Below are 25,451 nucleotides of genomic sequence, written 5' to 3' on the forward strand. Positions count from 1 at the left end.
AGTAGCTTGCTGTTCCCCATAAATGCCCTTATAAAATTCTTATTTTATCTATCTATCTATCTATACATATACACACACACATATTTGGATTATATGATATAATATATAATTGGGAAATAGAGAAAAATACATTCAGGTAATGATTAGTGACATCCCCAAGTATGTTCCATAGTAAGCTCTTGTTCAAAAGCAAAAACTATTTCAGGTTTTATCAATTATGTTAGGTGAATATGGTTATATACAAAGATTTGCAACTCTTACTTTGAGTTCACTGATAGAAGAAAGTAAGCCAGCACCAAAGACTCTTAGCTGTCCATCTTGTTTACATAGACCAAACTCCACAGTGAAAAAGTAGCACTGCAAAAGAACATCAATATTATTCTCACACACTGACGAATTCAACTTAAAACAAATTACAATTCTTAGTCACTGACCCAAAATACCCTAGAATAAAGTCCAAAATCCCAGTCTAGTTCACAAGTCTTTCTACAATCTGACCTCATTCTAAACCAGTACTTCTCAAACTTCTGTTCTGATGACTTTTACGTACTATTAAAAATTAGAGGACCCCAAAGCTTTTGTTGTGCGTGTATGTGTAGGTTATCACTAGCTATATTAGCCATATTAAAAATTAAAACTGAGAGGAAAATGCTTGCTAATTCATTTTAAAATTTAATAAACTCATTTTATGGTAACAAAGAATGTTTTAATACAAATAACTATATTATACAAAACAAAAAACTAAGAAAAGTAGCATTGTTTCACAATGTTATAAACCTTTTTAATGTCTGGCTAGAAGACAGATGGAGTCTCGTGTCTGCTTCTGTAGTTAACCTTTTGGGATATACTGTTTGAGTACATGAGTTACATCAGCTTCATGCGGTTATCTAGTTAGAAAAGCATTGAATATCTTAACAGTCTTTTTGGATAGTTGTGGATATTCTCCTTTTACTCTGCATGAAGACTCAACAAGTGGATAGAGTTTCTCAAAAGTTCAACGGCAATGTGGAATCTGAATTATGTCAATGAACTGCCTGTTACATTAAAATCCACTGTGTGCTTTGAATGGATCTTTTATCTAGGCATGATTTTGACCTCAAGGACCCCATAAAAGAGTCTCAGGGACCCCAGAGGTCCCCAAACCACAGTTTTAGAAGCACTATTCTATTTCACGCTGCCTCCCTCACTCTTGGACACTCTGCTCCAGCTTCTTGCTGTTTCCCCAGACACACCAAGCACCACCTTGTCTTTCCTTGTGTGCCCTCATCCTGAGATGCATTTCTTCCTTCCTTGCTGAGCACATCACTCATTTTCCATCAACTAATCCAGATGTCCTTCTCCCAGGAAACCTTCCCCAGGTTCTCTATGCTCCCAGAGCAATGTGAACTTTGCTATAGGCTATCTCATTTGACATAACTGTCTCCTCAAACAGTATATAAGCTCCTTAAAGGTAGAAACCAGGCCTTACTCATCTTTGTATTTCCAGCACAGTGTCTTGTACCTAGTACTCAAAAACACTTTAGCATAATTTTAAGGAAACCTATCCTTTTTATTGGAAAATAAAAGATAGATAACCTATTATTGTAATCTTGTTTTTCTCTACCTTTTTTAAAGCTCATGTCTCCTTTTGATAAACCTTAAAATTTTACATCCTTCTTTAATGTTATTTGAATTAAAGATTATGAGCAAAAACAAATTTTCTTTTCCTTTCTTTACTCTTCTCTTCTCTTTCTTTTCTCTTTTTTATCCTTTCCTCTCTTTTCTTTTCTTTTCTGACAGAGTCTCTCTCTGTTGCCCAGGCTGGAGTGCAGTGGCACAATCTCGGCTCACTGCAACCTCCAAGCAAAGACAAATTTTCTAATGGTCATTCTGAATATGTACTTTTAAACTACACAGATACTCATACACCCTACCCCAGGTGAAAATATAGCTAATTCCAGATTTATACCGTTGCCAGTTTTTGAACAGCCTCCTCTGAAGCGCCAAGAGAAGCCAAGCCAATTTCTTGGGAGAATTGGGCAAAACTAGGTTCAGCCAAAAGCGGGACATGACCTAAGAGTTCATGGCAGGTATCTCTGAAAGAGAGGTACAAGTTTGTCACGCTGCAGTGCTTAACATACGTTTATAATCAACCATTCAATCAAATCGAAATCCAATATTTTATTCTAATGATCGGGTGATAATACTTTAGTAATGGATCACAAAGGACACTAATCAAATAAAGAAACAATTTTGGTTCAAAACCTTGGCCACTCAGACTCACACATATAAGTGCACATCAGATACCTATGGACATCCACATGCCACTCCCAAAACCACAACCCCCAACACCCAACCCCACCACATACACACCCAAATCAGATCTCTGCTCAGATATCACCTTCTCAGCAAGGCCTTCCCTGATCACCCTTTTCAAAACAGCAACACACACACACACTCCCACCCACCTACACTTTCCTCCATCCCCCTTTCTCAGCTTTATTTTTCTCCATGGGACTCAACACCACTCGATGCAACATTTGCATACATTTACTTGTTTGTTTATTATCTGTTTCCCCCACTGGAATACAAGCTTTATGCAGGCAGAAATTTGTGTCTGATTTTTTTCAGTGTTACATTCCCTATGCTCAGAATAGCAGCTAGCACCTAATAGGTTGTCAATTAATAATCATAATGGCTAACACATATAGAGCATGGAACATGTATTTCATGCCAGGTACCATTCTAAATGCTTCACATGTGCTAATTTATTTAATCCTCGCACACCAAAAAAAAAAAAAAAAAAAAAAAAGAACCCATAAGGTAGATGCCATTATTATAAATAACCATTTGATGAATTCCTGGCTGAAATAGAAGTACTTACGGCTCTGGGGTATAGAAGGGATCTGAACTGTGTCTCACATATTGAGTGCAGTGAAAAACTCGAAAGGCTAAACCTGATAAGAAATCTCTTGGTGATAAGTAACCAGCCACAGGACGGATGGAAAAACCTGTACGCTCTGCAAAGCAAAGGAGAAAACAAAGAAAATCTTTACCAGAATAGACCCCTGACTGCAGCATTTTAGTTCTGCTAGTGGCACCAAGTAACACGTTGATGGAAGGCATGGAAACTATAATTTATCATATGCATATTAAGGGGAACTAATTATTATTAAGCACTTGCTATGGCCAGGCAATGAGTTAGACCTTTTACATATCACATCTCCTTTCACATTTACAGCATGACTTAAGGATGTTTCTCCTTATTGTGACAACTATGAAATGGAGGCTCAGAGACTCAATAATGTGCCCAAGTCCACACATTAGTTGATAAAGGCAGAATGAAAACTCAGATTTCCTCATGCCATACAACACCTTGCTGTCTCCCTTAAGGGGTTATACTATCTCCTAGATAATCTTCTTTTTGTAAAAAATCATTAACAAGATGTATTCATTTAAATCAGAACGATTTTTGAAGCTGTGCCATTTTTAGCCAGTACCATCTCTTGTAAAGTAGTCCCTTTCTTTTATCTAAACTGGATAGTGCCCTTCCATCTCCCAACAGCCAAGACTGCATGCATACTGTAAAAGAGGCCTGCCACTAGGATTCAGTGGTTCAGGAGACCCCTGTAAGCCCTAATCTTGGCCTTCATTCCAAACCCTCACAACTCTGGTATTCCACTTCCATCCAGCTGTGTTGTATTTGGATGCTCCCATTCTGATGGGCAGACTGCACTGTCCGGTAAAAATTTCCATAGTGATAGAAATGTTCCATATCTGTGCTGTCCGGTAAGGCAACTACTAGCCACATGTAGCCATTGAGCATTTGAAATGTGGTTAGTGTGACTGAGGAACCAAACTCTTGATTTACATTTATTTTAGTTATTTAAATTTTAAACAACCAAATGTTTCTAGTGTCTACCATATTTAATAGTGCAGATATCCCCTTCCAACTTTTGCTTGAACTTTCTGTTAGTTTTGATTTCTCTTTGGTATTTGACCTTGAAGCATTTTCAGCAGCACATTCTGCAGCCAGCCCAGGCTCCAGACCCTAAGAGATCAGCTTTCAGTTTTGTGTGCATTACAAAGCGTTTCCTCCAAATCTCATGCAAATTTGATGTTACAACTTCCGTAGCATATATTTGTCCATCTTTGTAAGTCCAGCAATGTTATGTGCATTGGTTCTCTATCATCCTTAATCACTATTTCTCAAAAGTTTAGTTTTTATAGAAACCACTTACATAATTTCTTCCCTTGTAGAAACTGTATTGCTCTTTCCTGTTTATTTCTTCTAGTTTTGTGTATAGTTGTTGAATACTGTTAAGGAGTTAAATAGATATGTAGATTTTTTTAAGTCTATGAGAGAAACTCAAAGACAGCAATTTCAGACCACGATGGAAATAAACTAAACTCTCTTGAGTCACAGCATAACTGCTTTGTTTTCTCCACTATGGTAATCTGCTGAGATTATCTACTGAGATAAAAGGGAAAATTTATACTTCTTAAATATTGTAAACCCTTGAAGATAGATCACTGATCATTTTACTTCCTATACTAGCTAGAAAAAAGTAAAGAGGCCTGGATCAAACAAATATAAAGAACTAAAAGGAACAAAATTGTCCTTACCCTTTGTTTATGCCTCTACTAGCACCATCTTTTTTCTTGCTAAAATTATAAAATCTTAATGTGGAAAATGTCTTCAACCTTCTCCAAGATGTTTGAATCTCCTCTACCAAATAATGGGTGTGGAGCTTTTGCATGAACACCCCCACGGATGAGGAACTAACCATCTCATCAGCCTATTCTATTTTCAAATCACTCTTTAACAAGATATTCTCTATTCTAGGCCAAAAGCTTGAAGTTTCTATCCAACAGTCCTTTACTTTAGAGTCGCACAGTAATCCCTCTGTTATAAAGATGGCTTTCAAATATTTAAATAAAGCTATAACAGCCCCTAAATCTCTAGGTTAAACACCCTAAGAGTTCTTCAAATTTTATATGTGATGCAATTTCAAATCCCCTTATAATTCTGCTCACTTTCCTCTACCTTGGCTGCAGGTTATGATTATCCTTCAATGTGGTGCCCAATCCTGGATCCAATACACCAGGACAGAGTACGGGAAAATTCTGACCTCCCATATCACTACGCTTTATTCCCCTATTAAAAATGCTGTCATTGTCGGGTGTGGTGGCTCACGCCTGTAATTCCAGCACTTTGGGAGGCTGAGGAGGGTGGATCACTTGAGGTCAGAAGTTCAAGACCAGCCTGGCCAACATGGCGAAACCCCATCCCTACTAAAAATACAAAAATTAGCAGGGTGTGGTGGCAGGTGCCTGTAGTCCCAGCACTTTGGGAGGCCATGGCAAGAGAATCGCTTGAACCCAGGAGGCAGAGGCTGCAGTGACAGAGGCTGCAGTGAGCCAAGATGGCATCACTGTACTCCAGCCTGGGCAACAGAAAGAGAGACTCTGTCTCAAAAAAAAAAAAAAAAAAAAAATGCTGTCATGATCAAAACAGAGTTCAGCAACTCCCTTACAAAAAATTAATTAGCTTATTACCTTTTAAAAAGTTGGAGACATCTTCCAATTGTGGGATATTATCCTCCCGATATCCACAATATTTAGAAAGCAAAGGTAAGTTTTTGAGATACTCTCTGCAAGCATGGGTTGGGTAGAGTTTGTTGAGCTCTTGGAATACGGTTCCCCAGGTCTTAATCTCCTCTTCAGTGAATTCAACCTTTGGAATGGGGTCTCCACTAATGAGATAAAGGGAAGGAGTTGTTTTGAATTAGCATTTAATAAATAGTGGCACTTATTTCACTTTCTACTTACCAAATGAACACAATTTATTCTATTCACTTATTTTATTATCTCAAAGTTGACTATATTTTTTTAAATATACTTACTGTTTATAGTTCATAGCCAAGTCCGCAAAATACTTTCGACGTTTACGGTAGACATTGTCTTTGAAGCCCTGATAATTAAAGATATGTTTTTAAATATCCATACTAAAAAATACTTGACAAATGATATTTGGGAAACATTTCATTATTACTAGAGCTATTATATTAAAGGGCTACATAATTGATACTATGAGCAAGCATTATTTAGAGATTTATGATCATTTTTATTTTAAAGTCAATGTTACATGACAGCTTTATACTCCAGTAGCTACAAAGATAAAAGATATAATGGATACAAAGATGGAATTGTGCCTACAAAGATAAAACAGTTTAAAGAATAAGTAAACCACCATCCCAGTTAAATACATGGCTCTTTTCCAAGGGTGAGGGGTTTTTTCCTTAATCATTTGACTATATCTTGTTATATTTACCTGTAATAGTAATTAATAATAAAAAGTAATTAATATTTGAAATAGTGACTTAACTGAATCTAGCCTTAGATTTTATCACAAAATGCAAATATATTTGCCATTTGCAGAAACAATGATGATTTAAAAAGCAGACAAAATAGTAACATTAGAATTTATACTCATGAAAAAAAATTTTTTTAGACAAAATGGCTGAGCATGGTGGCTCAGGCCTGTAATCTCAACACTTTGGGAGACCTACGAAGGAGAATCACTTGAGCCCAGGAGTTTGAGACCAGCCTGGGCAACAAAGGGAGACCCTGTCTGTACAAAAAAAATTTAAAATAACAATTATAACTAGCCAAGTGTGATGGTGCATGCCTGTTGTCCCAGCTCCTCAGGAAGGTGAGGCAGGAGGATGGCTTCAGCCCAGGAATTCTAGGCTGCAGTGAGGTATGATGGTGCTGCTGCATCCCAGCCTAGGCAATAGAGGGAGACTCTATCTTGAAAAAAAAAAAAATCAAAAATCAAAGCCCAGGAGAAAAAAATGCAAATAATGGGAAAGAAGGGGACATCTGAAAAGAGAGAATGAGACTCATCTCTTTAATACAGATCTATGAGGTAGCACAGATTTACTATGATTTGTGCTAAAATCTGGAAAAACAGATATGAACAAAGCACAGTCTGGGGCTTAAAGGAGTTTACATGAACCTGTTATTGTAAAATGATACAATAAATGTCTCATCATATTGTACAGAACGGCATGCACACTTAAGACGATTGTGTGGTTCAGGGAAGGCTTCCCAGTGATGACTCTCGAGCTAAGACACAAAAGAAGAGTGGAAATAGCACAGTGATTAAAACAAACAAACAAACAAACAAACAAAAACAGCATGTTGTGCCTAAGAAAATATAAGCAACCCCATGTTGCTCAAACTTGGAGAGTAAGGCAGAGCATGTTGAAACTAGTTGGTGTCTGCAAATTAAAGGTCCATTAAGGAGCTTGGAGTTTAGCCTTGGGTAATGGGAACCCACTGGTGTTTTTTAAATAACTTTATTGAGGTATAATTCACATACCATAAAATAACCATTCAGTGGTTTTTAGATAGTCACAGAGTTAAACAACCATCTCCATCATCTAATTTCAGAAAGATTCTGTCACCCAAAAAGAAACACCATGCTCATTAGCAATCACTCTCCAACTCCACCCCAACCCTCCTCAGCTCCTGGCAACCAGTAATCCACTGTCTATTTCTATGTATTTTTCTATTCTAGACATTTCATATAAAAGGAATCATACAATATGGGACCTTTTGTCACTAGCTTCTTTCATTCATCATAATGTTTTCAAGGTTCATCTATGTTGTAGCACATACCAGTATTCCATCTCTTTTTATGGCCAATAATATTTGCTTATATAAATATACCATGCTTCATCCATTTATCAGTTAATGGATGTTTGGGTTGTTTCCACTTTTTTGCTATTATGAATAAGGCTGCTACAATCATTTGTGTATATGTTTTTGTAGGAACATATATTTTCAATTCTTTTAAGTATGTACCTAGGAGCCATTGGTGATTTTTAAGAGAGAAGATGAATAATAGTCATATTGAGGTTTTAGGTCATTCTAATGAGGATAAGGAGGAGGTGTTTGAAGGTGACAAGGCTAAAAGAAGGGAGACCAGTTTAAGGGATGTGGTAGTAGGGATGAATAAGGAACACATTTAAGAAATACCTAGGAGGTGAAAATCAGCAGGACTTAGTAGATCAGTAAAACTGATGTACTCACCTTTCCATAAACATGCCCCAGATTTTCTTGCCTCTGAACCTTTGCTCATATTGTTCCCTCCTGAATTGTTCTTCCTTTCCATCTCTTATCTCCTGAAATCTTTTAAGGCCCAATTGAAATGTCGCCTTTCTCTGATCTCTTCAGCTAGAAGTGTTTGCTCTCTTATGTGTATTTTGAGGCAATTTTTTCATGAAGCAAAATTTTCACCTAGTGCACTTTTTACATTTTATCTTGTGTGTGTTTATTTACATATGTGTGCTTTAGCTTTTCAACTAGACTACATGCTCCTTTCCGGCAAGTACTGCAATTAATTGCAATAGTTATTCAATAAGATTATAGAATAATTGGACAGATCATCTAGTGGCTGTCTAAGGTAGTATAAAAAGGTCACATTCACACAGCTAACACATGAGAGAAGCTACATTAAAGCTCTGGTCAGTTTAACTTCACAATTGCACTCTCTTCTCTCCTCCCCTCCCAGAAATGCTCTAGATTTACTAATTCTCCAACTCTTGCCTGTACTGTACAATTTTCTCAGGAAACAACTTCCTAGTTCATCAACTGCCTAATAAACCAATCATGGTGGGCAGTGTGGGGGGCAAGTCTTTCTCTGGCCCACTTTTATTTATCTCCCTTTCCAATAACCCATGCTCATTTAAATAAAAACTGATTGCAGATGCTGTCTTCGTTTTAGTATAACCTTTTGAATAGCTCTTAATAATAGGAATGCTGGGCATGGGACAGATATTTTGGAACAAATGAAGCTACATGTTTTTCAGGCAGTTAGTCTCAATTCCACCAATATGGAGGTCTACTAACACTTGTTGAAATCTTTTTTTTTTTTTTTTTTTTTTTTTTGAGACAGAGTCTCACTCTGTTGCCCAGGCTGGAGTGCGGTCGTGTGATCTCGGCTCACTGCAAGCTCCACCTCCCAGGTTCACGCCATTCTCCTGCTTCAGCCTCCCGAGTAGCTGGGACTACAGGCGCCCGCCACCACGCCCGGCTAATTTTTTTGTATTTTTAGTAGAGACGGGGTCTCACTATGTTAGCCAGGATGATCTCGATCTCCTGACCTCGTGATCCACCCGCATCGGCCTCCCAAAGTGCTGGGCTTACAGGCGCGAGCCACTGCACCCGGCCCGCTTGTTGAAATCTTGATTAAAACAATGTCTCATTTAGTCTAGAAAAAACACTTTCTCTAAAAAAGTTGCCCTTAATTTTTAGTTTGCTTTAAATTGTTTTTATAAAAATATTTATTAAACATACTTACTGGGTGATAGTTTATGCCTGTTATCCCAGCACTTTGGGAGACCAAGGCAGGTGGATCACCTGAGGTCAGGAGTTTGAGACCAGCCTGGCCAACATGGTGAAACCCCATCTCTACTAAAAATACAAAAATTAGCTGGGTGTGGTTGTGGGCACCTGTGATCCCAGCTACTTGGGAGGCTAAGGCAGGAGAATCACTTGAACCCAAGAAGCAGAGGTTGCAGTAAGCCGAGATCGTGCCACTGCACTCCAGTCTGGACAGCAGAGCAAGACTTGCTCTTAAAAAAAAAGAAAATACTTACAGGATGGTCTGCATCTAGTTCAGATCCATACATCAGAACTCTGTTGGCACAATGGTCCAGGTCAGAAATCTTCTTTGGAAACCAAGGAACAGTTTCCATACCTGTAAAATTTAAAATAAAATAAAATAAAAACCAGTAAAAGTTGAAGAGATAATCTTAAACAAGACAATAAAGAAGATAAAATTAAATTCAGTTGGATGAGAGTTTTAATTTTAGCTTGTACATCAAGGCAAGATTTATATGAGTTAGGTAAATTGCCCTATTTCTAAAAAGTAAAATTTATTCAAAATTTCTGAGCTTTAATTTTTTTTTGAGTCTTCAGGTTGATGTCTAAGTTTTGGAGAAATACTGTACTTTAGAAACAGACTGAAAGTTTTAAAAATGCTTAAGCTACATATTTAGTTATTCAACAAAAGCAGAATAAAGATGCACAACTTTATTTACAGACCAAGGTACAAACTTAATAAAAACTTCATTTATTTTTGCCGATGGAAAAGATCTTAGAAATCATTTGTCTTTGCCACCTTGATCTTCTCACCATTCCTCAGACACGCAAGCCCTCATAAGACTATGGGGTTTTATAAATGCTACTTTTCTGCCTGGAATAGCTATTCCACTCCCATTCCCTGCCCCACCCTACCCTTCTGTTTTCCTGAGAATATCCGTCACATCCTTCAAGACCCAAATCTAATGAGATCTTCTCATTCCGCAAAGCCTTCCCTCACCCTGTAGGTACAGCTAATTATCTGTCCCCTGGGTTCCTGTGATGTTATGTTTCTCTCTAAAGGCTTTTACTATGTTTTATTATAATGTACCTGTTTATATGTCTGTCTTACATGAAAGACTGGAAACAACTGTAGGGTGGAGACTATATCTTTTTGTATCCCTATTTTTTAGTAGAAATATCTGTCACAAGGTTGGTATACCCTAAATATCAACTGAACTATCTCGTCATCTATACACCTCTGCATTTTACAGATGAGGTAATCAAACTCCAGAGAGGTAATTTATCCAAGGTAACTCACTCCTTTTGGAATACAGAGGACTAGAACTCAGCTCTTCTTGCCCCAGCATATTGCTCTTTCTAACATATCCAGGAGTGATATTCAAGGGATTTAACAACAAATACAAAAGGAGCAGTAATCACTCAAAATAGACATCAGCAGAGTCCTAGGCTTCTGCTCTGCAAGGTGTTAACCCTTTAGTTGTTAATGATGGGTATGGGACTTCTTGGGGGGACAGTATCTGGAGCAACAGAGGCTTCAGGCATGGTGAGGAGCCCTCAAGGGACTTGGGGAAGTAGCTCTCTGCCAGCCAGAAGTGGAGATATATCAGTATTTTAATAATTATATAGCTGTACGAACACATAGCAGATGAATAGCAGTCCTGATTACACCTCAAATATTGTGGACATAATCTGAAGAGATTATTTTAGATTGAGTACCATATATAAAATGTACCTAAATTATCTATTTGTCTTTTGCCTCGAGTGAACTCCAAGGATTTTTTTTTTACCAGTAGAGATCTTAACCTTTATCTTTGCTACCTGAGTATCTGAAACTTCAAAAGGCTTTATTGTTTCCCATTTGCTTTTGGAAGGAATGCTGTACATCAGTTGTTCCTGTTTTTGGCACCAGGGAGTGGTTTTGTGGAAGACAATTTTTCCAAGAAGGAAAGACGGGGAGGTGGGAGATGGTTTCATCAGGCATTGGATTCTCATAAGAAGCACACAACCTAGATCCCTCGCACTCGCAGTTCACAATAGGGTTTACGCTCCTAGACGGAGCTCAGGCGGTAAGGATCGCCGGGCCTGCTGCCCACCTGCTGCTGTGCAGCCTGGTTCCTAACAGGCCACGGACGAGTCCCCTGCTATACATATTGTGTGTCATTTCATAGTTGTGAGCAACTGTCAACATTCTCAACAAATTTAAATATTCATTTACTATCTGCTAGATGACAAGTCTTATGAGACTTACTAAGTGCTCAGGGATTGTGAATTATAGGTTTGTCAAATCAAGAAATGTTGATGATTTGGAAATTGAGAGATAATCAATTATCAATTTCTGATTATGCCAAATTGTCTGTCTTTCTTTTTCTTTCTTTCTTTCTTTTCTTTCTTTTTCTTTCTTTTTTCTTTCTTTCTTTCTCTCTTTCCTTTCTTTTTTTTTTTTTGACAGGGTCTTGTTCTGTCACCCAAACGGGAGTGCAGTGGTACAATCTCGGCTCAGCTCTACAGCCTCAACCTCCTGGGCTCAGGTGATCCTCCCACCTCAGCCTCCAGAGTAGCTGGGACCATAGATGCATGCCACCACACCTGGCTAGTTTTTGTATTTTTTGCACAGACTGGGTCTCTCCATGTTGCCCAGGATGGTCCTGAACTCCTGGACTCAAGTGAGTCTGCCTCGGCTTGCCAAAGTGCGGGGATTACAGGCATGAGCCACCACACCCAGCTGTTTCTTATACTCAAGATTTTCTTTTTCATTTCTCTTACACTTGATCAAATGTTGCTTTATAATTTTTCTTTGGTATCTGGAGCAACTATATTTTGTGTTCCCTTCACTATCAGACTGTAAGCAATTTGGAGAGCTTGTGTTTTATTATTTTAATGTCTTCAAGATAAATATAAGGCTGGACACACATTAGGTGTTTCATCTTCTAAGTAGTATTTTCACATTTTGAACTTACCATCTTCCTTCAAAGTAAAATTATCTGGTAGATTCACAGAGAGAACATTGGTATGAGACTTCAGCAGATGAAAAATATCATTCAATTGTTCTCTGTTGATGTCACAGTCAACAAAAATCTCAAATTCTGAGTTTCTTCTTTTTGATTTTCGGGACTCGATATGTAACAGATTCACATGCTTCTCCTGTGTAAAGCACAGGGAAAAGATTTCATGTAACTGCCTCAAATGTTAATAGTCTTTGAGCAGGCTACTTTAATTACCACTAAAAATCAGATTCACACTTCTCAGAACAGCAAAGGGAAAAAGACTGTTTTTAGTGCTGCCAACAACAAAATAATTCCTTCTTAAAAATTATGTATTAGAAAACTTTTCAAAATTCATCCCATCCTCCAGAAACCAATAAAATAACACACACTAGAGGTCCTTCAGATGTCAGAATTAATCAGAATTCAAATCAAAATATTATTAAGTTTCCTGGGTAAGAGGAATCTTTTGAAAATTCTCATAAATAAAAGCTAGTTTTCAAAAAGTGATACCAATGTTAGTCCTGGAGAAAGAAGAGTTTCCCTTTCAAAAATCCATTTAATTAAATTAGATGAACAGCTTGAGCACAGAGTATTTAATACCTCAAATCTCTTAAGCTACAATCTTAGTAACAGCTGAACCAGATCTCCTCTTCTGACCTCTCCCAAGTCAGCCTAAGATGGGGGTGCTCTGTGTATAAGTGTGGGAGGAGGGTATGTTCTCTTACCAATTTGGGTAGCTGAGGAAGAGTGCTGGGGACATGATAATGAAACATGAGCACTAATCACCCTATAGTTTTTTCATCTAAAACAATGAGAAGGTTAGAGCAGATAATCTCCAATACTAACCAGTGCATCCTAAAATAACTTAATGAACACCTGTGTAACTAGGTAAGGGCTGCGAAGAATATAAAGGGAAGACATAAAGGAATTTAGAATCTAGTTGGTGAACACATGGAAGATTAAGAAAATAAAGTAAAGAGTGTTCGGATGCAGGTGCTCAGCAAAGGGAAAAGCATTACGACTTAAGAGAGAGTAGAAAGTTTCATGGAGCAGGTGGGAACTTAAATGAATCTTAAAGAATAGATAGAATAGGCCAGGCGTGGTGGCTCACGCCTGTAATTCCAACACTCTGGGAGGCCAAGGTGGAAGAATCACTTGAGCCCAGGAGTTCAGGACCAGCCTGGACCACATAGCAAGACCCTGTCTCTACAAAAAATAATAAATTAGCCAGGCGTAGTGGCGCACACCAGTAGTCCCAGCTACTCGGGATACTGAGGTGGGAGGGTCACTTGAGACCAGGAGGTTAAGGCTACAGTGAGCTGTGATTGTGCCACTGCACTCCAGCCTGGGTGACAAAGTGAGACCCTTTCTCAAAAAAAAAAAAAAAAATATTATCAGGGAACATGAGCTAACAAGAAAGAGGAGTGAGTGATAGAGGATGTTAGAAAATTAGAATAGGCAGGGTTTATCTGGGAACATATAATTTATCACAGAATCAATAGAAGTCAGTTACAAAATATATTGGGATTGATCAGGTGTAAAGAAGAGTTTCATTTCATCTATTTCTTATAAATTTTTACATTAATAATGCATTTGTAAATATTTTCTAAATGATGACTTGAATAAATATAAAGCTAAACTATGTCTTTGGAGAAAAAAAAAGATGCAAAAATGTCAATCATTCCTAAATTAAAATCTCAATGGAATTTGGTGAGGAAATGTAATTAAATAATTTCCAAGTTCATCTGGAAGAAAAATACGGTCTGGAAAATTCAGATAAAGTAGAAGTAGTAAGTGAAACATTCCCTATCAGACATTTCAGTTACAGAAACAGAGGCATAGAGAGGTTAAGCAGTTTGGCCAGAAGCACACAGGTGACAAGTGTCAGAGCCGGAATTCAAATCTAGTCTGTCCAGCTCCACAGTCCATGTGCTTAAACACTATGCTGTAATCCTGTTGCCCAAGAAAGGAAGAGTCACAAAGGTGGATACTAAGGCTCTTCTTCAAACAATATTTACATAATCTTAATAATAAAGACACTAAAGATTGACAGAGCCAAAAACCGGGACACAAATACATTGGGAAGACGAGTGGAAAAGAAGTTGAAGAGGCCATCGGAAGGGGAGTTGTGTCAAGAAACCTAAATTTTTACTTCATTGTTGAAAATCAATAGATAATTACCTATAATTCTAGAAATCAAGAAGTAGAAGCAGAATAAGCATATAACTTATAAGTGTGGAAGTAAATATTAGAAAAATAGTTTAAAGAGTTGAAAATGGTTGCCTCCACTAGGCAGGGGATAACTAGGTTGTCTCCACTAGGCAGGTGGAGACACACCCAGAGAACACCATGTAGCAGTTAGAAGAATGAATGAGATGTTCACACAGCAGCGTGCATAGGTCTTAAAAACACAGTGCTGGATGGGAAAAAGAATCTTTATAGCACAATATGATTATATAAATTACTAATATACGCACACACAAAGACTACATATTCTAAAGTGCAGACAAAGTAATTCAATGTACATATCAAACATGAGAGCAGCTCTCTATCAGAAGAGAGAAATGGAGATAGAATTCAAGAATGAAATAAAACAGGAAGAGGTTGCACAAATCAACGATGATAGTGTACACGTGATTTAATGAGTGTGATTAACTCAAGCTTCTGCACACAAGGTTGCAAAAAAATTAAATGGAACTTTGGAATGAAGAGAGATGGAGCAAAACACTACTTTTTTAAAAATATGTTTTATAGTACAGGTTGAGTTGTTTTTAAGCTATGCACAATTATTCTTCGATTAAAAATTAAATTTAAAAAAAGCTGATGGAAGAAGACATACAGGTATTTTATTTAAAGACCCAAAGGTAATCAATAGAATAGCTAAAAGTAATAATAAAAGTATCAGATTTGGAAGGACTGGGAGAGGGAAGGGAGGGAGGTGGTATCAGTATCATTGTTCATAATAGAAAGTAAATGAATATAGTGTGAAGTTGATAACTTGAAAAGACATATAAGAGCAATGTTTAGATTTCATAAACTCACCACCAAAAAAACTAACGACCAGAAATAGTTAAAAGAGGTTGCCTCTAGGGAGTGGGACTGAGAATATGGTATGTGTTAGGTAAGAAAACTGATGCTTTTCATTACAAGCTCTTCTAGACTATCTATATTTAAGATTTTTAATTCTTTGAAATATTCTTTGCAAACAGCTATATAATAGTATGTCATATGATTATTAACATAGCTAACATCTATTGTTCACTTACTTTGTACTGTACCATCCTAAGCATTTTAGAGATATTAACTCTACTAATGCTCACAATGACCCTATGAGGTAGGTAGAGTTCTCATTTTATGGACATAAATCATGAAGTGTGGAGAGATTAATCAATTTGCCCACGATCACCCAGGTAATAACTGACAGAGCAAGGATATGAATCCAGGTGGCCTGTCTCTGGAGACCAGAGCTTAACCACAGTGGTGTTCTGCTATCACAATTCAACATCCCCTATATTAGGACAAGTGGCTTATTTATAATTTTTAGTTCCTATAAACAATAAATCTTTGTGTGTCCCTGAGCCCTTAAACTCAGTTAGGTCCCCCAAGTTCAATGCTGTCAGAATATCTGGTATTTCTGTTTCATGTCACTTTACACATAGTGATTATTCACTTACTGCAGTTGTTTGTTTAATGTTGCCTTCCCCACTAGATTACATACTCTGTGAGGACAGGCACTGTGTTTACTTTGTCCAGCTCCACATCCTTAGTGTCTGGTGTGGTACCTGACACATAGTAAGGACTCAATAAATATTCGTGTTCTGCCTGACTGATCCATATTTTTAAGACAGATTTATGAAATTAGAATTATGGGTCAAAAATATGAACATTTTAAGGCTCATAATACATATTACCAGATAGTTTCCCTACATGGTACACAAATTTATCCTTGTGCCAAAGGTGCATTGGAGGGTAATGTACCTCCAATGCAATGAAGTTCTGACAATAGGAGACACTGTCATTATAGAATCTTTGCTACATGAAAATAATATCATTAAATATACTATGACTATATCATTAAATCTCAAGTATATAATTAATAATATATGATTATATATTGATAAAATTTTAATATTTTATTAAAATAAAATTAAAATTTGCTTCTCTAAAATCTATAAAGTGAATCTTTTCTCCCCCATTTCTCGAAGTAGCTATTTGTATCTCCTCTTCTGTAAATTGTTTGTATCCCTTGTTAGAATTCAGCACTATTTTAGAAATGTAAGTTCTTAACAAATGTTTGTACTCCATCTCTGAAGAGTTTACAATAATTTATATATATAATATATAAAAATTATATATTTATATATTTTATCTATATATAAATATAGATATATATATAGAGAGAAAATCTCACTCTGATACCTAGGCTAGAGTGCAGTGGTGTGATCATAGCTCACTCACTGTAACCCTGGACTCCCGGACTGAAGCAATCCTCCCACCCCAGCCTCCCAGGTAGCTGGAACTACAGGAGTCCACCACCACACCCAGCTAAATTTGTTTTTTTTTAAGAGATAGGGTCTTGCTATGTTGCCCTATATTTTAAATATAGTTTTAGAGATTCATTTCTAGAAGAATTCTGTGCAAAAATACAGAAAATGCTTACCTGAAAGATTTTCAGGGCTTTTATAAGTCCTCCAACTTCATTCTTTAAGGAAAAAATGAGACTTGCTCTTCCCCTTTCTAAGGAATGGTCTTTGTTCTCCTTATTGTCTTCAATCATGATGAATTTGGAGTAATTCTCTAAAACTAAAGTATGAAAACAAAGACTACGGGCTAAAAAAGAAGTTGCACAATGCAGACAATATTTGATAACTAAGGGCTCATTTACTTCTAGGAGCTTCAGTTTCTTAACCTTTTATAAAACCTGGATATGCAGATAAGCTTTGCAAGAATCTAGTGAGACCAAAATAAGATACAACTTTGCCTGACACCTGCCTAGAATAGAATACATGTTAGTAGTTCCCTTTTGTTTTTTTTCTAAACCAATCGCTCTTTTAGGGCATGACTGAAGCCTGCTGGCTTCTTGCAGTCTTCCCAACTATTGTAGCCTAAACTAGTCAGGAAGGCCTACCTCCTCCCCACCTTGCCCACAATCTTAGCACTTCATTATACCAGGTCTCAAATGGTTTCCCCAAATGTTCTATTCGAACATATCTCACCTTCTAACAAGGCAGCAAGCTCCTCCAGAGTGGGGACAAGGCTTTCTATTTATTTTGTAAACTAAAGGCCTGGCCAGCTCTAGATACATATGCACTAGATGGATAACTGCTAGCCAGGAGAATTCTAGTTCTGCTTCTCAGAAGATGAACCAGAGATCTACTTTGGTATCTTCTTAACCACCTATTTACACTGCAAAACAGTGTAAGGAAATATGTGGAATGTGAAGTCAGACATATCTAATCATTGGCCTCATGTTTATCAGTGTATGACCTCGGGCATGCTACTTAACCTTTCTAATATAAAACTAAGTTACCAAACAGCTACCAGAACTCATAACATCCAAAATTCTCACTCGTTTTAAAACATCATAACATGGCGTGCTATTCTGAGATTTTCCTCACGGAAGAAACTAGGATATTTCAGGTACCAAGAAGAGTTAGAGATACATAATTCAAAATTTAACTAACATTTATGAATTCATTGGGTTCAAGTTTCCAAAACTACCAAGATTTTTAAATTATGCCAAATTAGTCTCTAGAACTAAAAACAATTTCTATTTCAAATGCTATAAAACTAAATGGCCAGTTAAACTGAATAATTATGTGGATTTTTCTTTGATTCAAATAATTACTAATGGTAAAACGAATAAAATTTCAACCCAAGCGCATTCACATGTGTGAAGCACCACAGTCAAAGTTAGGGCAGTAAAAATTTAAAAACAAGACAACTTGCCTCCAAATAATTCACACACTTGTTCATGGGGAAGGAGAAAATGGAAGACAGACTTCTCAATAAGTACAAATAAGCAGAAAAGAAGGGACACTGAGATCCCAGCCATGACACCCAAGGAGTACACTCAACCACCCCTCACCTTCCCACCACCCCACCCCTTTGATCAATATCCCATGTGCTTCTAAAGATGACTGAATATAGCTTCTAGCCCATCCATGAGTCTCTGCTGAGAAAGGATTTATGGATGAGAAGCAGGAGATCTTAAGAGATTTTCCACTTCAAAGGAAGTGACCATTTCTTAAGGTAAACTTAAGTATACACAGAAAATTCCAAATTGGTGGCTCTGGGGCTAAAAATTCAGGGATGGCCTCAGATAAGCATTCTCAAAATGTTTTTAGGGATGTGAAAACTTTCAGAAACGTTTCTTACCCATTCAATTACCACTCAAAGATTGACTTTTCTTATCAAACACAGAGTATGGGCGACGTTGTCCTAAAGCGTGAAAATGTAAACAATAAAAGAGATGCAAAATAATATAACAAATTGCTAGTAATAAATCTTTCTGCAAATCCATCTAGGCAAGTTATAATCTTTATATGTATCAACCTCTTTATTTGCAAACTTGGAGGGAGGATAATTAACACCACTCTCATGATTATAAGGAGGATTAAACATATATAAACTTATGAGAATTAAATAGTTATAATTTACATAAAACTCTTAGAACAGTTGCTAACCTACACTAAGTACTCAATAAGTATTATCTCAAGTAATGGGGAATATGTCCCAAATTTTCCAGTTTTCAAAAAAAGAGAAAATGTTCAAGTAATGAAATAGACATTCTAAATACCTCTGGCTAAGAATTTTTCTTGCCCTAGGAATTAGGCATTTTACAAGATGGTTAACATATTTCTTACAATAGCAAACATGTGGAAAAGTTGCTTTATGATATAAAATGTCAGTATTGTTTTGTATCAAGGTGATTTCAGTTTCATTAATTTATTATAAAACCCCTAAAGTGTATTAAATTCCAAATCTCAAGAAAATAATTCAGCAGTTTTTTTGCAAACAAATAGACAAAGACCCCAAAGTAAAATGTACTGAGTTACCCTATAGTTACTGAGTCCTCATGTTTCCTGATACCATCACCATGACATGCAGAAGGAAGAGGATTCTGCAAATATAAGCTATTTCCTGGCCAACCACTAGCTTCATCATGTAAATCAGCTTTAAGAACTGGGAGCAAGGATCAGAGAACAGTAAAGAAAAGTTACCACTGATTTTTTCCAGTCAGTGGTAACACTAACAGAATTCTAGATCTCCTGATAATTTGTCTTTCAACAACCTCTTGGAGCTTGGAATAAAACTCTTCATATAAAACTATATGAGGCCAGCTGCTGCGGCTCATGCCTGTAATCCCAGCACATTGGAAAGCCAAAGTGGGTGGATCACTTGAGGTCAGGAGTTGAAGACCAGCCTGGCCAACATGGTGAAACCCCGTCTCTACTAAAAATACAAAAATTAGCCTGGCATGATGACACATGCATGTAATCCCAGCTACTCGGGAGGCTGAGGCATGAAAATCGTTTGAACTCAGGAGGCAGAGGTTGCAGGGAGCAAGATCGTGTCGCTGCACTCTGGCAGGGCAGTAGAGTGAGACTCCGTCTCAAAAAACAAAAACAAAAACAAACAAACAACAACAACAACAAAAACTATTATGAAGAGCCTGGGTAACATAGTGAGATGCTGTATGAACAACAACAACAAAAAAAATTGTTTAAGTTAGCTGGGCATAGTGGCTTTCACCTGCAGTCCCAGCTACTAGGGAGGCTGAGGCAGGAGGCTTGCTTGAGCTCAGGAGTTCTAGGCTGCAGTGATCCATGATCGCGCCACTGCAGTCCAGCCTGGGTGACAGAGTGAAACCCTGTCTCTTAAAAAAAAAAAAAAGAGAATTTCCTTCAATTTTCAAAACTGGTCCCTAAGCTTTCCTGGAAGTTGCTATTGTGAGAAGGTGCTAACAGTCATGGCTCCATCCCTTTAGGGTTCATAATTATTTTCTTTACCTGATTCTGGAATGGATCAAGTTTTGTGCCAACATCTCCTTAGTTGGTGTGGGGAGAGGAGGGTGAAGGATACATTAATTGAAATTTATGATATGCAAGGCATTTATATTATTTTGATGTATTTAAAGACATACATTATTATATTAAGATGTAAGTGGCTCACACCTGTAATTCCCAGCACTTTAGGAGGCCGAGGCGGGCGAATCATGAGGTCAAGAGAGCGAGACCATCCTGGCCAACATGGTGAAACCCCGTCTCTACTAAAAATACAAAAATTGGCTGGGTGTGGTGGCGGGCGCCTGTAGTCCCAGCTACTTGGGAGGCTGAGGTAGGAGAATGGCTTGAACCTGGGAGGCGGAGGTTGCAGTGAGCCAGGATCACGCCACTGCACTCCAGCCCAGGTGACAGAGCAAGACTGCGTCTCAAAAAAAAAGATGTGGAAACACTCCTCCTTGTTTAAGTCATGGTAAAAATGAAGGTTCTCAAAAGGAACTTTTGCTAAGAAACTAGAAAACTAGAAGAAAATTCTCACCCTCTTTTTTGTTCCCCCCCACCCCAAAATAATCTTACAGGACATAGATCTTTGATCGTTACTAAAACTTGGCCATAACTTTGCTTGGTTGACAGAGCTTATGAGGCATCAGTTATTTTTTCCTCCAGTTAACCCCAAACCGCTTTCAGAACCTCAATATTTTGCCTTGTTACTTTTTCCTTTCCCCTTTCAACCTACCCACCTCCTCCTACTCTTTCAGGAAAACAAAACAAAACAAAACAAAACAAAAAAACACAATACTAACCTGGTAAGATAAAATAGGTCACACTTGTTTGAATCAGTGTCTCATCAATACATAAGCATTTTATTTTTAAAGCAACTCTCTGATCAGCTAATACCAACTGGTACCCTTTTCTCATGAAAGGTAGAGTCATTTTCCTACTGCGTCTCCTGGCCTAAGGATGCACTGTGTAGGACATACCACTGGAAATAAGGAAAAAATACCAAGAAGACACTCAGAAGATCAACAGACCCGACCCTTGGGAGAGGTCAAGGCGTATACAATGACCAACTCTTTTCTTCCCTTAGTTTAATCAGTAAAACAAGTGTAATTTATATTTACCGGATCTAGGAAGCACAAAGCACTACTGAATTAGTCTTTTGAAAGCATGGATATTGTTTGAAGACAGAACTAAAAACTGCAAGGAGGATTCTTTCAGAGGGAGGGAATCCTCTACGGAGTCTTGATTTTCTTTTCTAAATAAGGAGTGGGAATGAGGATGAAAGTGTAGATGAAATACAAAAGAAAACACTATCCATGAAAAACAGTATTCTAGGAAATAAAGGCACTGGCAGAGAAAATGGAAATAGAAGACACATCCCTATCTGGAGATAATCTAATAATACATGTACAAATGGACCTCAGTGATAACATATGTAAACCACAGATTATAACTTTACAGAAACATTGATATTAGAATTCCACCCCCCCCTTTTTTTTTTAACTAACAGGCACAAACTTTTCCTGGGTTAGCAAGTTCAACTCTAGTCTTTTTCCTGCTAAGTCAAGTAGAGTGGGACATCAATGAGAAGTTCATTTTAAACCTCTGAAAATCAAACGCCAAAGGCAAGGTTGAGTTCACACGGACTCTTAACTGACTCTAAACCGCAAGGACCTAGTCCTCTTTGTCAATTGCGACCTTGCAAAAAGCTCTCAGTCGTCTGTTGGGATGGTGGTGATGATGGTAAGTGCGATGCTGAGAAGCTTTGCATCTGAGACTCCTTCTTCTTCGGGAGGCTGTTTAAGGGAAGCTTCCCTTCATGGGAGGAGAAGAAAAAAAGAGACATTGCCCTTTGATGGAGAGGAAGGGAAGGAAGAAAAATCTTACTGTTTCTGCCAACATAGAGGAGTCACACAGACTTGGGTTGGACTCTGGACCCCACTTTCCTCATCTGGGGACTCAAGAAATATCTACCAGAGTTTGTCATGAAGGTGAAATCTCATGATGGCTAAAGAGTCTGTTCCTGGCACACAGGAGGCACTCAGAAAGTGTCTTTTCTCCCCAAACAGCGTGGGAGGAAAGAATAGTAAGCGTTTATAGGGGTACAACTCCGACCTCCCAAATCTGACTCCGCAAGACCACCAATTTACCTCCCGGGAGGGTGACTCTGCCCAGCCCCGCGCCTGCCAAGCGCCGCCAAAGCCTCGACGGCGGTCCCCGGTGCCCGCGGGAAGGGCCGCCTCACTCACCTCGGGCGCCAGTAGGTGCAGGCTGGGTCGGCCGGCGGCCCCGCGCTGCCTGTCTCTTATAGAAGCGGGCGTCGGAGCAGCTGGGCAGCGGCCAATGAGAAGGGAGGGCCGGCGGGTGTGGGGCGTGGGCAGTCGCGTCCGCCTGCTCCCAGAGACTTGCACGCCTCAATCTCTGCGTGTATCTGACTGGTGTTTTAATTAAGTGAATGTTAGGCCGTCCTTAACCACACAAGTCTGACTAACACTGAACAATCCAGAGTTGGACATTCTCTCCAAACCAAGATAACGCCTATTATCGACACAATGACCTGCTATAGGACTGCAGTGCTTCTCGCCTGTTGGAGACCAAAGCAAGAATCCCCCCACCTCCCACACCTCTCTGTGCTTCTGGGCTATTTAATAGCCCAGTCCTGACTTATTATTCTCTTGGTGCTTTCCCCCATTCCTTGAGGCAGAGCAACAGTTAGTTGAACTTTTTAGAAGAGAAGTGTTCAGTGCCCTTCTAATTAAAAAAAAATTTTAAGCTGCAAGCAGAGAAGCATTCTATATTAGCAAAAAATCATATTACGTGCTATTGTGAACAACAGGACATAGAGGCAAAAAATTTGGAATAGGTATTTACTGGTTGAGTAGTCAGTCGATTAGCTCCTTATCCCAAAGGACTGTACACATAACGAAGTATATTATAGGACATTCTTTCCTCCAATGTTTGAAAAGTAAGATTTATTGATGTATAATTAACATACAGTAATATTCACCCTGTGAGGTGTACAATTCTGAGTTTTGACAAACATGTATAGTTGTGTAACCACCAAACGATCAAAATATAGAACATTTCTATCACTGCGAGAAATTTCCCTTGTCTAAAGTCTCTCACCTCACACCCAGCCCCTGGCAGCCACTGATCTGATTTCTGTCTCCACAGTTTTGCCTTCTCTGGAATGTCACAGAAATGAAATCATGAAATATGTACAGATTTTTGGCTCCTGGCACTTAACATAATGCTTTTGAGTTTCATGCAGGTATTAGTGATTTGTTCCTTTTCTTTCCTGTTTTCTTTTTTGCTGAGTATGGATGTACTTTAAAGCTCAGGATCTTTACAGCTTTTCTATGCATTTTTCTTTTATCTGTATAATGCTTCTATGAGGTACATATTATTTGTATTTTACAGATACGGAAATTGAAGCACAGGGGTGGCTCTAAGACGTTATTCTGGCACAGGCTAGTAAGTACCATCAATAATCAAGCAAAAGTGTCTGAGTTTAAATCCAGTGCTCTTACTTCAATGCCATAAAAAATACTGGTCAGGGAGAGACCTTTCAGAACCAAGCTGAGGTCAAAGATGTCTTTCCTAAACTGAAAGCCTTTCCTTGTAGATCTGGAACACGATAAGGATGCCCAATTTCACCACTATTATTCAACATAGTACTGGAAGTTCTAGCTAGAGCAATCAGACAAGAGAAGAAATAAAGGGCATCCAAACTGGAAAGGAAGAAGTCAAATTATCCTTGTTTGCAGATGATATGATCCTATATTTGGAAAAACCTAAAGACTCCACCAAAAAACTATTTGAACTGATTAAATAATTCACTAATGTTGCAGGATACAAAATCAACATACAAAAATCAATAGCGTTTCTGTATGCCAATGGTGAACAGTATGAAAAAGAAATTAATCCCATTTACAATAGCCACAAATAAAATAAGTACCTAGGAATTAACCAAAGGAGTGAAAGATCTCTACAATGAAAACTATAAAATACTCATGAAAGAAATTAAAGAGGACACCAAAAGAACAGAAGGCTATTCCAAGTTCATGGATCGGAAGAATCCTTATTGTTCAAATGTCCATGCTACCCAAAGCAATCTACAGATTCAAGGCAATCCCTATCAAAATACCAAAGACTTTCCTTACAGAAATAGAAAAAACAACCCTAAAATTTATATGGAATCACAAAAGACCCAGAACAGCCAAAGCTATCCTGAGCAAAAAGCACAAAACTGGAGGAATCACATTACCTGACTTCAAATTATACTGCAGAGCTACAGTAACCAAAACAGCATGGTTCTGGCATAAAAACAGACACATAGACCAATGGAACAAAATAGAGAACCCAGAAACGGATCCACACACCTACAGTGAACTCATTATTGACAAAGTTGCCAAGAACATACAATGGGGAAAGGACAGTCTCTCCAATAAATGCTGCTGGGAAAACTGGATATCCATCAGAAGAATGAAACTAGACCCCTATCTCTCACCATATATAAAAATCAAATCAAAATGGATTAAAGACTCAAATCTAAGACCTCATACTATGAAACCACTGCAAGAAAACATTGGGGAAACACTCCAGGACATCAGTCTACTCAAAAATGTCTTGAGTGATACCCCACAAGCACAGGCAACCAAAGGAAAAATGATTGCATGGGATCACATCAAGTTAAAAAACTTCTGTACAGCAAAGGAAACAATTGACAAAGAGAAGAGACAACTCACAGAATGGGAGAAAATATTTGCAAAGTACCCATCTGACAAGGGATTAATAACCAGAATATATAAGGAGTTCAAACAGCTCTATAGGAAAAAATTTAATAATCCAATTAAAAATGGTCAAAAGATTTGAATAGACATTTCTCCAAAGAAGACATACAAATGGCAAATAGACATATGAAAAGGTGCTCAACATCCTTGGTCATCAGATAAATGCAAATCAAAACTACAATAACATGTCATCTCACCCTGGTCAGGCAATAACAAATACTAGAGAGGATGTGGAGAAAAGGGAACCCTTGTACACTGTTGGTGGGAATGTATAATAAATTAGTACGACCACT

General features: G+C 38.0%; 1 protein-coding gene across 1 annotated transcript in view; it reads right to left on the reverse strand.

Annotated features, from left to right (window-relative positions):
* TPH1 (tryptophan hydroxylase 1) overlaps nucleotides 1–22,643 on the reverse strand; it is a 28,715-nt gene extending 6,072 nt beyond the window's left edge. The window contains exons 1-9 of the mRNA NM_004179.3: nucleotides 22,615–22,643; nucleotides 17,020–17,162; nucleotides 12,333–12,516; nucleotides 9,648–9,748; nucleotides 5,886–5,953; nucleotides 5,539–5,735; nucleotides 2,864–2,999; nucleotides 1,949–2,075; nucleotides 262–357 (exon numbers count right to left, since the gene is read on the reverse strand). Coding sequence (NP_004170.1) covers nucleotides 262–357; nucleotides 1,949–2,075; nucleotides 2,864–2,999; nucleotides 5,539–5,735; nucleotides 5,886–5,953; nucleotides 9,648–9,748; nucleotides 12,333–12,516; nucleotides 17,020–17,136 — 1,026 coding nt within the window. The 5' untranslated portion in view covers nucleotides 17,137–17,162; nucleotides 22,615–22,643. The remainder of the gene's footprint in view (nucleotides 1–261; nucleotides 358–1,948; nucleotides 2,076–2,863; nucleotides 3,000–5,538; nucleotides 5,736–5,885; nucleotides 5,954–9,647; nucleotides 9,749–12,332; nucleotides 12,517–17,019; nucleotides 17,163–22,614) is intronic.
* Between the last annotated feature and the right edge of the window lie 2,808 nt (nucleotides 22,644–25,451).

Source organism: Homo sapiens, chromosome 11, assembly GCF_000001405.40.
Source record: "Homo sapiens chromosome 11, GRCh38.p14 Primary Assembly".
Classification (NCBI taxonomy): domain Eukaryota; kingdom Metazoa; phylum Chordata; class Mammalia; order Primates; family Hominidae; genus Homo; species Homo sapiens.